The sequence below is a fragment of the Homo sapiens genome, chromosome 5 (assembly GCF_000001405.40).
Source record: "Homo sapiens chromosome 5, GRCh38.p14 Primary Assembly".
In the NCBI taxonomy this organism is placed as follows: Eukaryota; Metazoa; Chordata; class Mammalia; order Primates; family Hominidae; genus Homo; species Homo sapiens.
The window spans coordinates 79,953,105-79,969,763 of NC_000005.10; the positions used below are offsets into that span (position 1 = coordinate 79,953,105).

The 16,659-nt window shown below is 42.8% G+C and overlaps 2 long non-coding RNA genes across 2 annotated transcripts in view; both read left to right on the top strand.

Moving 5' to 3' along the window:
- The window catches only part of LINC01455 (long intergenic non-protein coding RNA 1455), a 31,048-nt gene extending 16,526 nt beyond the window's left edge, over positions 1 to 14,522 (top strand). Inside the window, exon 3 of the long non-coding RNA NR_131226.1 lies at positions 14,483 to 14,522. This is a non-coding gene — a long non-coding RNA (long intergenic non-protein coding RNA 1455). The remainder of the gene's footprint in view (positions 1 to 14,482) is intronic.
- The window catches only part of LOC105379048 (uncharacterized), a 115,841-nt gene that overhangs the window by 93,244 nt on the left and 5,938 nt on the right, over positions 1 to 16,659 (top strand). The window lies entirely within an intron of this gene.

Sequence of the window (16,659 nt, forward strand, 5' to 3'; positions counted from 1 at the left end):
GGTATAATTATTGCCCTCTGGGATGCCTTCTTGATCTCCTTCTTTTCTCTTCCTCCCAGAGATAACTACTCTTCTGAATTCAATATTTATTTACATATTGTACATATATTATCTTACACATGGTCAAGCCTATTGAACCAGAATCTTGAAGAGGACTGATGCTGAAACTGCCTCTGCAAAATTATAACTGAGGAAATATTGGCAGTGAAAGAAATCAGTCCTAACCAACTCCATCTTGCTTCTAACCTTCAAGCTGTCCTTCTTCATTCCTGTGCATAGGCCGAACTAACTTTGGGGAGAAATTCAGTTCATGGTTTGGCTCTGAAACAAAGCTGATAATAGCCCTATCCTGAAAAGACGCCCTTCTTGCCTGGGGACCAGTCTGCCTTTGCAGGACTAACAAATTAGCTACAAGATTAGAAATTACAATTTAGGGGTCATGCAGCAATCTGGCTCCAAGAGTTTGAACCTCCCCAAATTGCTCCTGGGGATAACATCACTATTGTAAAGCCTAAGATCAGTGCTTGAGAAATTTTGCAGACCCGGTACTCGATGGATCAGCTGACACCAACCAGATCGGTAATCTGGCCCAATCAGTGCTGCCATAGCACCTAGGAACAGAAGACATTAAGAAAACCTAACTTCGACCCCCTAACCTGAACAATCAGCTCTTCCTAAGCCCCTATCCACCAAATTATCTTTAAAAACTCTGATCCCTGAATGCTTGGGAAGACTGATTTGAGTAATAATAAAATTCCGGTCTCCTACACAGCCGGCTCTGTGTGAATTACTCTTTCTCCATTGCAATTCACCTGTCTTGATAAATCAGCTCTATGTAGGCAGCGGGCAAGGTGAACCCATTGGGCAGTTACAGTGCTTCGGCAAATAAATAAAATGTGGGTGTTTACAACTGTGGTGTAGCAAGAAATCCCTGTATGACAATACATTGGCCCCCAGTCAGTGTATGAAAGCCAGTGGGCCCACAGGTAAGAGATCCTACTGTCAGGGATTTCTTCACTCCATGAGGGCTGTTGAGACCACAGAGCTTCGGGCATGCGTCCCTGAGGAGCAAGGGAGGTCCGAGCAAGATGACTCCCCACTCTCACCTCCACACGGGTCCAGCAGTAAACCAATGTGGGAGTCATCCCAGCCAGCCCTCCAGAGCCAGCCTGGACCAGTCTTTGTAGTGTGGTCTAGCTCATTGTGTATCCTTAATCTCAATATAGTGGATTAAGTTTGCATATTTTCAAATTTTATATAAACAGTGTGCTATTATTGTATGTATCACTCTGCAGCTTGCTTTTTTTTTTTTTGCTCAACTTTGTTTTGAAAGCTTATAACCATGTTAAATCTTAAAAAAGTATTCCAGTGTATGTATATAGAAAAATTTGTAGCATATTTTCCTAGTGAAAATTGCCCACTTTTTAAATTCTGACAAACAATCCTGCAGGGAATGTACTTGTGTGTGTCTCTCTGTTGGTATGTCTGGGTGTTTCTCTCTTCTCACTTTATGCTCTATGACAATCTGCTGGGTGTATGAAGTGCTATCTTCTTGTGGATGTAAGTTATGTCGTTTTATCACTAGAAAGAGTTGGACCATTGAGGCAGGGGACAGCAAACTTTTTCTGTAAAGGGCCAGATGGTAAATATTTTAGACCATACAGCCTCTGTCGCAATACTTGACCCTGCCCTAGCACCAGAGAAAGAAGCCACAGACAATACGTAAGCTAATGGGCATGTTCCAATAAAGTATTATTTACCCAAATAGGCAGCCAACCAGCAGGCTATGGTTGTCCAGCCCTGTTCAAGATGAGCTATCTGAAAAACAAACAATAGAAAAATAGGCAAGATCTTAACAAGCAACATGAAGAAGGTAATGCCCAAATGGCCAGTACATATACAAACAGTTCAGCCTCCCTAGTCATCAGGGAGTTCGTGATCAATTTCCTTCCTAACACAGCCCCAGAGAGCCTTCAGGTACCTCTCCTAGAGTGTCAAGAGGCATCTGTGTAAAGGAGACCAACGATCAGAGCATCCTGAAGCAGCTCTCCCCGCCTGGAATGAGGGGGACAGGCCCTGCCTCTTCTCTATTTACACCAAAAGTGTCCTGGACCCTCCTTGGCACCCTGAGATGCACGTAAAAAATGCATCCCCTGCCGTTGAACAAGTGGAGGGGGCAAGGACAGCATCTGGTGAAGTCGTTGATAAGAGACAGAGATCATTTCCAGACTATCCTTCTTGAAGGTTAAATTCTTTCTTTGTGAAGGGAGAATAGGACAATGGGATCACAGAGCAGAGGCAAAGAGATTTCCAGAGGCCTTTTTGCTTGGTCAGTTGAAATACGTTTCCTCTGAACACTGCTGATAGCATACATTTTCAATGACTCCAGCTTAAGGAGAGTTTACCATTTGAAAACCATCCCACAACCTTGAAGTGTGATCAGAAGGGAAACTAATAGCTGCAGAGTTTGCAAAACATTCCGTCTTCCCTGGATTAAGTTTGCAACCTGGGAAAACACAAGGAACAGATGGTTCGTGATCTGCATTTAACAACCTGAGAGGAGCTGAATTTCTGCCCATGACAAACTAATGGAGGAAGCCTGTGCACTGCCCCACTGGGTGGCTAGGAGGGCCCTGATTATGTGGGTCCTAAAGTCAGGGAGGACCCCAAGAATCGGGGCTTTACAATTTTAAATACAAGGTTATCTCGCCAGTTGGACAAAACTAGTCCTGCTCTATCCAGGATGAAGGTTTCATTACTGCAAATGTCAAACAATTCTTAGCTGGGTGACATGGCAGATGCCGGGGGCCACATCTGACTTAAGATTTGCACATAGGCCACTCTTTTCCCCCAGGGAACCCCAAACCATATGCCATTCCAGAAATCACCACTGTGAGACGATCCTCTAATCCTCACCCCCTCCCCATACTGCAAACTGAGCACGGGAACAAACTGCCTGAAAAACATCCATCTGCTGACTCCACAGCAAAGGCCTCAGGGAGATGAACCAGCCAGGGCTTCAGTTCTCTGTGTTACTTAAATCTGATTCCCTAATTAGTTACTCTAGTCAAAATTCCCTGATACACAACATTTACTGTATGACATCATTTCAATTCACTGCAAAAGGCAATAGAAGGATATGCATGCTGTAGCCCTGACAACTTCTTCTAAATAAATGTCTTCCTCGGGAACTGTTTTCCTTAAACCATTTGACCCAAGTCATGCCTAAGATCTCATCAGAATGTAGGAATAAAAGGTGTCAAAGCACTAGTACTAACTTGGATTACACAGGCTTTTATCCATTCCTGACTTGCCCCAAATTAGTGTCCCACAACCGGTACTGACATTCCCCAGAGGTGACTCACTCATGCTCCCAAACAAGTCCTTTTCTACTCCTGGCATGACTACCATGCCTGCCAGGCACCCACCGTCTCTCACTGGGTAGCATCTCAGCCATGGCCCCACTCTGCCAGGGGTGCACAGTCATACACATCCCGCCAGGCCCCATGGGCATAGTGGTTCCCTGCTGACTCTTCAGGGGATACACATGCCCAGACACACCCAGCCTGGGCCCTTCACAGTACTGAGCAGTGATTAGCCCATTCCCTGACTCTGTGTCTCACTCTACTTCTTGTACTAAAGTAACGCCACTTGCACGCTCACGTCTCACTGACCCTTTCATAAAAACATCTCCTTCGGCACGTAAGATATGGCTGACACCATAGGGTCACCACTGTACAGCCCCTTTTCCATTCTCTCTCTCCCGCATCCCACATCAGCTCTCCAACCTGCCCAGGGGCCACCATCAGAAGCCCTCCTGCAAACTACCTCATACAAAGTGATGCCCCCCAGGGCTGCATCCCAGCTCAAGATGCACCCACATTTGCCAGAACATCTACTTGAGCTCAAGGTGAAATACTCATGTCACTTATGGAAATTGAACCAGCAAAAGCTCACTAAACTGAAACAAAAGGTTGTCTGAACTACTAAAGCCTAAATCTCATAATTTTAAAGAAATATATTCACTCATGTATTCACCAGCAAAACATTATTGTGCATTTGCTGCCAGGAGGACAGATGCATAGCAAAGCACGTCTTCACTCTCACGCTCCTGTGGCCAACACTGCTAGTCAATCAGTGACTTTCCCACTGAGTCTAGGTCAGACAGGGTCTTTCTCAAGATAGCATTCCAGGCAACTACTACCTAATCATAGGAATTGGCCTGTGAAATACAACCAATTTGCTACTCCTAATCAACCACACATTGATGATATTAGATCCTGGAGATATCAAGATGAGTAAAAATATGAGGCCAACTTTGAGCAACAGCTGGGTAGCCAGACACATGGCATCTAACAATCGATACAGAGTTTGAGGGAGAGGGACTTTGGTAGCCAGGGGAGGCTTCACTGAGGAAGGAATAGCCACACACACAAAAACAATAAACTAGCACAGTGGAAAGGAGGAAGTAGGGCAGTCCAGGCAGACAGCAGCATGATCAAAAGCAAGCGGACATGAATGTCTATGGTGTGTTGGGGAAAGTCTCGGGGAGACAGATTGTGGCACCAGAAGGGGAGGTGGGAAATGCAGGCTGGATCCAAACTTTGAAGGGCCTAAGGAGGGAGAATATCAATCAGAAGACGACGAGGAGACAATTGGATGTTCCTGAAAAGGGTAGTGATCAGATCAGAGCTGAGTCTTAAAAAATTATTTCTATTATCATAATGGATAGTAGATTATAAAGACATGTAACTGGAGCCAGGAGACCCAATCAGGAAGCTAAGTTGATAGGCTAGGGCTTCAGTTAATATGTATCGAATGAATGAATGAATGAATGAATGAATGAATGAGGGAGGCAGGGGGTGAGCCAGCAGGGATCCAGCCCCCAGCCCTACTCCAACTAAAGCAGCTCTCTTTTATTTATAATCTGGAGTTTCTTATAGATTTTCTTTGAAGAAAGTATTCTGTAATTTTTTAAAAAGAAGTCTGAAAACCATGCTTTGACCGGGAGAGAGGAGGGCCTGGCTGAAGGCAGCACCCATGAGAGAACCGGGACTGAAGGTGTTTACAAGAGATTTCCAGGAGCACACAAAGGAGGTGGTGACTAACAGAAGGCGAACATGGGCTCGTTTTATTTCTTTTATTTTTTACTCTCAAGACCAGAATAACACAAACAAGAGTGCTAAATAAAATCTACCCAAATCTGTCTCAAAAACATTTGCATTTTTTAATGCAAATTTATAGTTAAGCATTATTTTAAAGATCATATTGTTAAGTAGATTGAACATTTCCTTGTAAATTGGTTGTTAGTTTTGATTTGCTTGGTTGACCCCCACAACCTCTACCCATACCTCAGGAGATAGTAGTTCCCAACAGAATTATTAGTCTCTACCTGAAATAGCCTATATATCTTATTAGAACCAATTAATAAACTCTAAGAGGGGTATTCTCGGCTCACCCAGAATTTGTCTTCTAAATCATTAGAGAAAGTTAACAATTCCAATCACTTCCTCTTTTGGGACATTTAATTCATAAGTGAGCCATATGCTTCCATACACCAATGCTAAAAAGACGAGTGTCACAGAATGAATGTTTGTGTCCCCCCCAAATTCCTATGTTGAAATCCTAACCCCCAGTGCAATGGTATTAGCAAGTTGAACCTTTGGGAGTTAATTAGGTCGTGAGGGTGGAGTCCTCATGAATGGGATTAGTGCTCTCACAAAAGGGATCCCTGAGAGATCCCTCTGCTCTTCACCATGTGAGGATACAAAGACAGCCTCTGTCAACCAAGAAGTGGGTCCTCACCAGACACCAGATCTGCCAACACGTTGCTCTTGGACTTCCCAGCCTCCAACACTGTGAGAAATAAATTTCTGTTGTTTAAGCCACCCAGTCTGTGGTATTCTGTTACAGCAGCCTGAACTAAAACAACTAGGGACATCCAATTCCCATCCGCTTCCTCAGTTCCCTTTCACCCCTTACAAAGCCCCAAGGAATGAACACTACAGCAAATTCCTTTCCCCCACTCATCAGAGAAATGGGCAGGTGTTGAGCAGTGGTTCTCAGAACTGGCATTCTCAAAATTTTGGAATGCAGTTCTGTGGACCAGCCATATAGGTTTGCCACTATGTTATTTTTTCCAAGAAAGAATACCAAGAAAACAAATAGCATTTACTACAATCTTTTCCAAAAAGACAATTCAGCACTGTTAAAGTGAACTAAATATGGCCTGAGAAGGACTCCATACTTCTATATTTGAATCCTCGTGGACGAACTGCAACCTAGCTTAGTAGGTAGACAAGATTGAAAACCTAACTCAAGAGTATGGGCCTGTAACCATAGCTAAGCGTTGGCCAATCCCAGCAGCCATACTTCAACCATTTATACACTGCTGAGTGTTCAAACTGTATTCAAATAAGGCAAACGCTGAGCTGTAACCAATGCAGTCATTCTGTACCTCACTTCCGATTTCTGGACGTCATTTCCCCTTTTTTGTCTATAAATCTTCCAACACGCAGCTGTGCTGGAGTCTCTGTGAATCCGCCGTGATTTTGGGGGCTGCCCGATTCATGAATCATTCATTGCTCAATTAAACTTCTTTACATTTAATTCAGCTGAAGTTTTTATTTTATCAACACCAGAAAGTGAGAAAAGTATCTCCAGAATCAAGGGTGGTTCTTTAAATGGAATACACTTTGCTTTATGAAAAACTTTCTGAACTAGACTTACATGTTGTATTTCACTTTAGACCAGTGAGACCATTTCCAGTGACAAGTGCAATCCAAGGGCTGGGTTTAGAGGCAGCAGAGTAGATCATTAGCAAGGTCCCAGAGTTCCCACTCATTCCCCTGATTCCAAGACCCTGGAATCCAGAAAACTGCAAGGGAAACTGTGACCACTTGAGGAATAAGCTTTGTTGCTGCCATCTGAGTGCCTTCGGGGCCTGGAATTTGTCTTTTTTTGAATGAAAGAGTTACAAATGGTGGTTTGTTGCAATTGGGATATCAGAAATAGTCAGGTACTTCAGGCAAAGTTGTATGTTAAATAAGCTTCTCTAAACTGACCTTGGAATTTGAACCACCATTTATACCATCATTTCTGCATGGAAGTGTAATGTAATTTCCAAGAAAATGACTTGGAGATGAATTGTGAGCTCAGTCTGATCAGAAGTTGGAGGCAGCCTAGATTCCTTTGGCCTCCTGGTCCCTTTGGCCTCAACGTGCATTGTTATCCTCATTCCTAATCCCCAGATGCAAATATTGATTGATGTTTAAATGGCAACTTTTCATTAATGAGCTTAGAGCACTTTGTGAAAATGTGTGCTCTTGCCACCTCTGGGACATCTGCCTAAGTTGTGGTAAGGGTTCTGGCTAGGAGTTAAGAGCCCTGGTTCTAGTTCTGAAGCTGCCATACATTAGCTTAAAGCCTTTGTGCAAGAGAGAGGAGAAGAGCTATACCTTTGAGGTCCTTGCATTGCCATTGTCTATGATTTATGATTTTATGGTGAGTAGATCACAGACAGTGACAGGATCTTTCCATAGCTCCCTTTTCTGGTCAAAATGCAGCAAGAATAGTCCAACCACTTTACTAGGATGTCTTTATTTTTATGGCTTTTCCACCAAATGTATTGCTTTCCTTAGCTGGCCTGGGTTTTGGGGACAGATATTTGGCTATTATGTCCACAAATGCCCTTGACAACAGGCAACGGAGGAGGTAGGAGCCAGAAGCTTTGTAAGTTTCATAACTTACAGTTCCTGCTGGGATTTTGATTTGATGAACCTGTGTCACCTTAATAAATTATGAAGGCTTCTCTTTTCCTTGAATCTTTCCTTGTGTCTTTGTTCCAAAACAGGCCAAAGAATGTGCTCTAGAAATTGGCCATCTCCCTGTTTTGAAGGTGAAAGATTGCTGGGTGTCACCCCCAAAAGGAGACCTCTCTATTATATGTTTCTGTGGTTCCAAGCTCACTGTGAGCTGTGCCTTTGACTTGGCAAAGGAATTCATCGTTTGAAAAGCTATTTCTAGCCCAGCACAGCTGTTCACTGCTTAAGTTCAGCAAATGCCACCATTTTTGCAGACTGTCCTAATACCCCCAGAGAAATTATGGCAACCTAAGTGTGTGACTTTGGTGAGTGAACAAAGAATGACCACTTGTCCAAGGTCTCGCAGAAGTCATCCATTGTACATTTGATTATATTCTCTCCTCTCTTATCTGGTGCAATGTAGGCTCTTAAAAGCAAAACTCAAAAGAGGTTTTTTGCACTACGTTCCTTCCCTGATCTTTGTGAAATCAAGGAATCAGATGATAATAGTGATAAACTAATAACAGCAACAGCAATTCTGATTTCTTTGATGCTTCTTATGTGGCAGGTAATATACTAGATACTTTATAAAAATTATCATGCTCATTTACAGATGAGAGAAAAGAGGCATAGCAAGATCGTGCAATTTGCCAAAGAAACTTCTTAACTAGGAAATGTCAGATGTGGAATTTAAACCTGGGTTCACCTTGGTAGAAGGCTCATCGTATTCCACTATGGCATGTGGATTAAAATACGGATGTGGAGATATGGATGTGGATGGGGAGCTCTGTAACTGCCCTGGCTCCGTTTAGCTTACAGATCTTTGTTAAGGTTCTTTAGCAGTTTGCCCCTAATTCTGCTAAAATAAGATCCGCCTCTCTAGCCCGTTCCCCACCTACACAATGACAGAACTTCTTCCCTCAGCCTTTCTTCTGTATCTCTGGGAATACCCCAGTGGCAGTGGCAGGAGGTTGCAGCACACATAACTCATGCCACTGCTTGCCCTTCCCTAGCCCGCTCTGCTGGCCTCCTGATCACCTAGATGATGCTGTCTGGAGCTCCCGCTCCAGAGCGCCTGTCAATCTGATAAAGCTCTGGGATGGCGCTACACTGCCTGTGACCTCTAGTTGACCTTGGGCCATCTCTCCTCCCTTCTCCAGCTACTTACAAGCCCTTGATGTCCCTGCTCATCCCAGGTCTCTCTCTGGCTGGAGGGGAAAGAACTCAACCTTCTGTACCCTGCCCTTTTGTGTGTTTCATTTTGTGTGTGGATGGTGGAGGTGGGAAGGTGCAGGCCGGCAGCGGCCTTCCTTGGGCCCACTCTGGGGTTACAGTTTGTTCTGTTTCTCCCTATACTCCTCCCATCCAGTGCATGTAAGCCCCGGGGGTGCTGGATCAGAATGGTTCACATGGTGGAGTGCTGTGCTCAGATGTGTGGCTCTTTTTTTGGTCCTGCTACTGAATGACTCTCCAGGGCTCCTTCTCCTTTCTCAGTTAAAGGGAAGTTTCTCTCCCAGGGCTCCATGGTGGACATGTCTGTATATGAAAACCCACAGACTCCAGGAACCACAGAATCAGGAAGTGTGGCTCAAGGGAGCAAGGTGGCATTTCCTCACAGACACTGGGTGTCCAAATTCCAGGGGTAGTCAGGGGAGGTGTATGTGTGTGGAGTGCTGGCTGGATAATATTTCGAGCTAGCTAGCTATTGTGATTTTATCCATTTTATCCCTGCTTTTTCTCTTGCCCTCCTGCACCGGCCCCTACCCGCCACCTCCCATTCAAGCAGATAATAGCTGACTCTGTGCTCAGGCCTCACAGGAGGTTTGCAGCAAGGCACAAAGCAAAGACTTTGCTTCTAAGCTTTGGAAACAAAAGCCTAAGCCCTCAGCAGAAGAGGATTCGATGGAAAACAAAAACAAAAACAAAAAACAAAAGACAGATTGTCCTGAAGAAACATGGAAGGAAAGAAGCAATTTCCCCAAACTAGAAAGAAATCCCATTTGGTTAACAGGAGGTGAATGCAGAGGTGACAGAGAGACAGATGGGGCTCCAGGAGCACAGAACCAAGCACTGCTTCCTGGGAGAGTGATGTCAGCATGACTCAAAGGCGGCCTCAGCAGAGATGCTTGGGGACCCGGGAGCCACAGCACAGAGTGACTAGACCTGAGGGGTCAGGACAGCCAGGCAAGGGCAAGGCTGTCTCAGGGATCTGTAGACAGAGAAGCGAGGACCAGGTGGGCCTCACCCCAGAGGCCTTGGCACTGCGTGAGCTCCAGAAACTCTGGCGTTAATAACCACGGGCGAGGGACTCCTGGGAAAACTGAGGTTATGCATTTTTTTGTTTATTTTTTATTTTTTCTGCCAGCCAGAAGAAATAAGAGCTTGGCATTATAAATTAAGTTGTTACAGAAAACAAAAGAAAACTCGTCAACCTTGTGTTTGTGGACTGGGATTCACGCCCTCTGCCACCTGCCCTCGTACCCCTCGTGTTCACCCAGAAGGAGATAAGAGAGCCTGTGCTCGTACTCTATCCTGGGCATTTGGCTAGACGCAGGCCTTCTGTCCTGGACCCAGGAATAGGTAGCATTGACCACGAATGCTTCGTATTACACTTTCTTTTCCATTTCAATAATGATTCAACAAAACAGTTTTAAATGAAAAGCATTCGGTAAACATTGTTCAGTTTTTCCAGGACTTTAAGCTTCAGAGGGATGCCACAAAATCATCTTCAGAGAAGTTTATGGTGCTTGTAAGGCTGAGAAAACAAGAGTCCTTAAGAAAAGCTCTGATTAAACATTGTAGAGCATTGTATTTCCTGCCTTGTAATTGTGATAGATGGTATGGTTTTGTTTTTAAACAACACCTCATCTTTGAAATGACTCTGCTGGAAACCTAGCATTTTTTTTTTTTTTTCAGAATATTTCCACTGTGTATATTAAATTGACTAAACATTCAGAAGAAGGAGCACAAATCAGACCCAGGAGAGTCTGTTGCAAAGTGTAAGTAGGAGAGAGGAGATGTTACCAATACTGAAAATACACTAAAATTCTGATGAAAGTACCAGATTCAATCCCATGCAAGCCTCTTAGGAACACTCAAACTGTTGAAAATAAAATGGAAAAAAGCGATTACACACTGGCACCAGCATCTAATTGTTTAATGAACATTACATGGCCTGGATCCTATTACTAATGTTTCTCTTCTTTGACATATGTCCACTGATGAAGGAAAGTTCTTTTTGGGTTGCAAAGTGGCTTTCAGAATTTGGACGCTCTGAAAGATAACAAACAGGCAACATCTTTTACTTCTTGCTCACAAGTAAATTTCTGGCAGTTTTTGACAGGTCATAAACACACATGAAATGCTAAACGTAGTGGGTTGTTAGATGCTTTCCTTAAAGTTGAAAAACATTTTTAAAATAAGTTTCCTTATGTCTACTTTTTTCCACATTCTCAACTCTGACATTCAAATGCACTTCACGAACCGACACGTAATAACATTTGAAAACCAAATTTGGAAAACCTTCACGAATTCAGACTTCACTCTTAGAGAATTTTCAAAGCATTCTTGAGACAAGCAAATCGAGGCTGTGAATAAGATTACTGAGAATAATGCTTACTTAAGAGAAATATTCATGTTTGTTAGATATGCACAAGCAGTTAATTACATTTGGAGTTGTGCTTGTTTAGGTCCTTTTGTGAGAGCACTGACACTGTTTAGAACTTTCTAGAAAAGCTTTCATCCATTGGTTTCTGTGACTTCACTCTTCCTTGTATTTCCAATGGGCTCCCTGGACGCATCTCCTCAAGCTCTTTTGTGGGTTTTTCTTCCTCACCCAGCTACTTCAAAGGTGGAGTTACTTAGGGTTCCATCCATAAACCTCTTCTTTTCTCACTCCACAAACTCACCCAAAGGTTTGAATTAACTATATGCAGATAATGCTCATGTTTATGTCTCCAGCCTCAATCTCTTCCTTGAGCTCCCTCATGTGTATCCTGTCTTAGTGGGTGACTCCACTATCTATTGCTAGTCTAAGCCTTAAACCTGGAATTTATGCTTAATTCCTCTCTCCCTTCCCATCATCATCCTAAATATCACTTTAAACATCCACCCTGTCTCTTCCCACTGTTGTCAACTTATTCCTGCCATCATCCTTTCTTGTCCAAATTTCTATAGCAATCTTTTAACTGATCCATCTGCTTCTAAAACCTTTCTCCTGCTAAGACCACAGAAATTTTTCTAGAATGCAAATCTGAACGTGTCACTCCTCTGCTAAAAAAACTTGTTCAGGGCCGGGCATGATGGCTCATGCCTGTAATCTCAGCACTTTGGAAAGCTGAGACGGGTGGATCACCTGAGGTCAGGAGTTCGAGACCAGCCTGGCCAACATGGTGAAACCCCGTCTCTACTAAATATACAAAAAAAAAAAAAAAAAAAATTAGCCGGGCATGCTGGTGGGTGCCTGTAATCCCAGCCACTTGGGAGGCTAAGCAGGAGAATTGCTTGAACCCAGGAGGTGGAGGTTGCAGTGAGCCGAGATCGCGCCATTGCACTCCAACCTAGGCGACAGAGTGAGACTCTGTCTCAACAACAACAACAACAACAAATTGTTCAGGACTCTCATTGCCCTCAAGATAAAGCCCACACTTCGCTTAGGCTGACAAGGGCCTTCATGATGGAGACCACATTCCACCCTCAGCATAACTCTTGCACACCAGACTGAATGCACTGTTTGCATTTTCTGTTCCATCTGATTAGAATGCCATCCCCCTCACCTCCACTCTCCCCTGGATCTATAAAGCTTTCTTCCATCTAAGATATCACCTCCCCTGGGAAGCTTCTCATCCTTCCCAAGATTGAATAAGGGACCTCTCCTATATGCTTCTATAGTACTTACATCCTATATTACCTATATCACAGCACTCAACACTCTGAATTTCAGCAGCAGCTTTATTCATCAGTTTTCTCAGATGATTGTAAAAACCTTCAAGGTATCTTCCTCATCATATCTCCAATAATCAGCTCATTCTAGATTCTTGAAAAACATTTGACAGATAGATGAATGCAGTTACTTTAAAGATCTGTTTCTCAGTTTCCTGATTCTAAATTCTGAACAGGGAGAATCTAATTTGCCCAGCTTGGGTCAGTTTCCATCCCTGGTCCAATGAGCTGAGCTAGGGGTGTGAGAGTATGGATGGAATCTCTTAGAAAGGAGTGTGGGGTTAGAAGCAATGGGTGGCATGCATAACCAAATTATACAATGTTCTTCATTGAAACAATAAAACTGCATTGTAGTTTTTAAAAGTCATATGTTATATATTTTTCATTAATTCATGAGCCTCCTTTCATTAGTTCATTATAAAAAGGTATCACTGTACCTTCATTTTAATACATAAAATAAAAATTATACAGTCACTTTTTACTTATTATTAGGGACTCATTCATCCAACTGTTCACAAATATTACTAAGTACCTACTATGTGCGAAGCTCTGTGCTAGGGACTCGGTAGATAGCAGAAAATAAAATCAAATCCCTGCTGTCATGGTGCTTGCTTTAAAAAATGTAAAACACAGATGCAGCATTTTAAATTAGAAAACTTAATATGAAAGAAGACAATAGGATGTTCTGCGGAAAATAACTGGGGGGATGTGATTCAGTTATGAGAGCCAAGGAAGGATTCCCAATCGGGGGAAAAAATTACATCAAAGCTAAGATCTGGCTTCTCTGGGAAGAATGCCTGGGATTGGAGAGTTGCGGGAGGACAAGGACGGAACTGGAGATCCCTGTGGAGTTATTATGATACTTGCAGCAAAAGACTATGACGCCTATGACTGTTGATGAATTCAGGAGATTCTGGGAGCCAGAACTGATTGCACTTTGATTGTTTCTATGTAGGGTGAATTAAAGGTGCTAAGAATAACAGTTGGGGTAGAGGTTAAGCACATGAACTCTGAAGCTAGATTGTCTGAGTTTAAATCCCAGTTCCATTAGTAAGTTATGTGACCTTGGGCAAATTACTTAACCTCACTGTGCCTTGGTTTCCTCATCTAAAAAGTGGGTGATAATAATAGTAGCTACCTTGAAGATTTGTTATGAGGATTAAACAAGTTAACATGCATAAAACATTTCAAACATTGCCTGCATGTCGGTTTACTTACAAACTGAAAAAGAGGTAAGTTTCCATGCTTCTGGCTTGAGCAATGGAGCGATACAGGTGACATTTATTGAGATGGGAAAGACTAGCAGAAAAAGAGACTTTGATGGACTGAAGATCACAGTTTAGCCTTAGATACAGGCTTGAGATTGCTCAGACCTCTTGGACATCTCTCTTTGGGCAGGAGTCTGATCTCAGAAGAGATCCCTGGGCTGGAGATGTCAATCTGTAAGACTTCCAAATACAGGCAACATTTGAAGCCCAGGGATTGGAAAGGCAAGCAAGGAAGAGTGTGTAGAGTGAGCAAAGTGTGAATACAGGGCCAAAGACTGACCATGAGAGTTCCGAAAGCCAAGTGGAGAATGAGGGGCCAACTACTGGTTTATGTGCAGTGCTGTTATGCACATGCATTAGACAAGTGGAAATAGAAACATCTGGTATAATTTGAATATAAGGAATATTCAAACAAAGGACATCCTTGTATTTCTATTTTAATGGAGCTTAAAACTCTAATTTTCTGTTTAGCCCTGTTACATTGATTTTATGGCTTCTCCTATCCCTCATTGGAATCTCTGATCCAAAGATTTAAAAGAAAGTCTGGAGAATTTGGAGATATGAGTAGTTTCATGGCTGGATCTTCAATGGCGAAGACAGAAGGTGGGGCATAAACTAGAACCAGGTGATGAAATGTCTTATAAGCTGTCATAGGAGTTTAAACTTGATAACAGTAAGGAGCCATTCAAAGTGTTAAGCAACAGTGAAGCACGATTATTTCGTATTTGAGAAAGATCTTTGTTGAACAAGGTAGAAAATGCATTGAAAAGGAGCAAATCCAGAAGCTGAGAGGCCAATGGTGCATCTGTAACAGTAACCCAGGAAAGAAAAGGCAACACAAAGGCAAAGAAAAGACAAACCAGGACTGTGGGGGAGGCCAACGGTTCCAATTTAAGTAATGACCACAGCAAGAAACAGACAGGATGAGGTGATTGACTAGTTAGAGAAGGTAAGAGAGAGGATGACGCCATGGCCTCTGCTTTTGTTCAGACTATTCTGTGCCCTTAAAATATTACATTTTTCCTAATCCATCCTTATGCTCCATGCAGCACCCTCAATGTCTTCTGTAGGGATAACCCTTTAATTTTCAAATATGTTCTCATCCTGTCTCCTGATGAATGCATGCAGTCATTAATTAGCTCAAGTGGAAAATAAAGATGCGACTTACTTCATATGCACTCTAGGTCCCAGGCCTGGGTAGAAAAAAAAATCTATTACCTAAACCACAGAAGCTAAAATCCTCCACAAAGAAGAAAATACCCCAGTGATTGATTTGGTCTCCACATCACCTGGCTTAACTAAGTATAGAAGTATTAATATGCTAGACCCTATTTATTAAAATAATTTAGCTCATCATTGTGACAGAAAGCCCATGTTTCAAACAGCAATATTTTTGTAATAAATTAGAAGTCCCTCAACAAACCCTGTTAAACCCCATGTGGATTTCCGTTAATGGGGAAGATTTCCCAGTGACCTAGCTTAACACTGCTGCTGCACATTAATTTGCTTTCCAGCTATACATAAATAAATAAGTGGCTGCCTCCTTGATGTGAGCTGGAGGACCCAGGGGAAGGCATTTTTACCTCTAGGTATCTTCCCCAGACTTCTTATGCTGTTTATAATTATCATATTCATCATTTTTTTCTTCTCTCTCTTCCCAATTTCTTTCTTCCTAGTCTCTCTTGAACCTATTCCTATCAGACTTATGCCCCCACCATTCCATCAAAACTGCTTGTCAAGGTCACCAATGACCTCCATTTTGCTAAATCCAATGGTCAGGCATCAGTCCTCATTTAACATGATCCATCAATTGCATTCAGTGCAGCAAATCACCACCTCTTCCTTGACACACATTCTTCATTTGGCATCAAGAATAACACATTATTTCCATTTTTTTCCTACCTCATTGGGCTTAGCCTTCCTTGCTGGTGTTCTCCATGGTCTCTTAGTGTTCAGAATACCTCAGGGCTCAGTTCCTAGTCCTCTTCTCTATAACTTAAACCCTTGATCGTCTCATCCCGTCTCATGGTATTAAATAACACCTTTACCCTAACAACTCTTCAGTTAGTACCTCCTGGTCTCCAGCCTTACTCAGCATCTCCACTTGGATGTTCAATAGACATCTCAAACTCAATGTGTCAAATATGGAACTCCTCATCTCCCTTCAAAAACTGTTCTACTCATAGCCTTCCTTATCTCAGTTGATAGCAACTTGATTAAGCCAGTGCTCATGCCAAAAATCTTGAAGTCATCTTTCTCTCTTTCTCTCACAATCCACATCTAATCTTGTTGATAGTGTCTGCAAGGTACACCCAGAATCCATTCTCTTCCTACCTTTCCACTGCTACCATCCTGATCCACCAACTCTTGGCTCAAAGTCACTACAATATACTCCCAGCTTCTCTTCCTGCTTATACACCCTTGTCTAGCACCAGAACCATAGCTCAAGTAATCCTTCTTAAAAAGTAATCAGTGGCATCACTTCTTTACTCAAAAACTGCAATGACACAGGGTAAAAGCCAAAGCCTTAAAAATGCCTTCAAGCTCCTACCTGGTCTGCTCCCTCCCCTGAGTTTCAACCTCATCTCGTGGTCTCCCCTGCTCACTCTGCTCCTGACCACTGGCCTCCTTGCTGTTTCTGAGACATG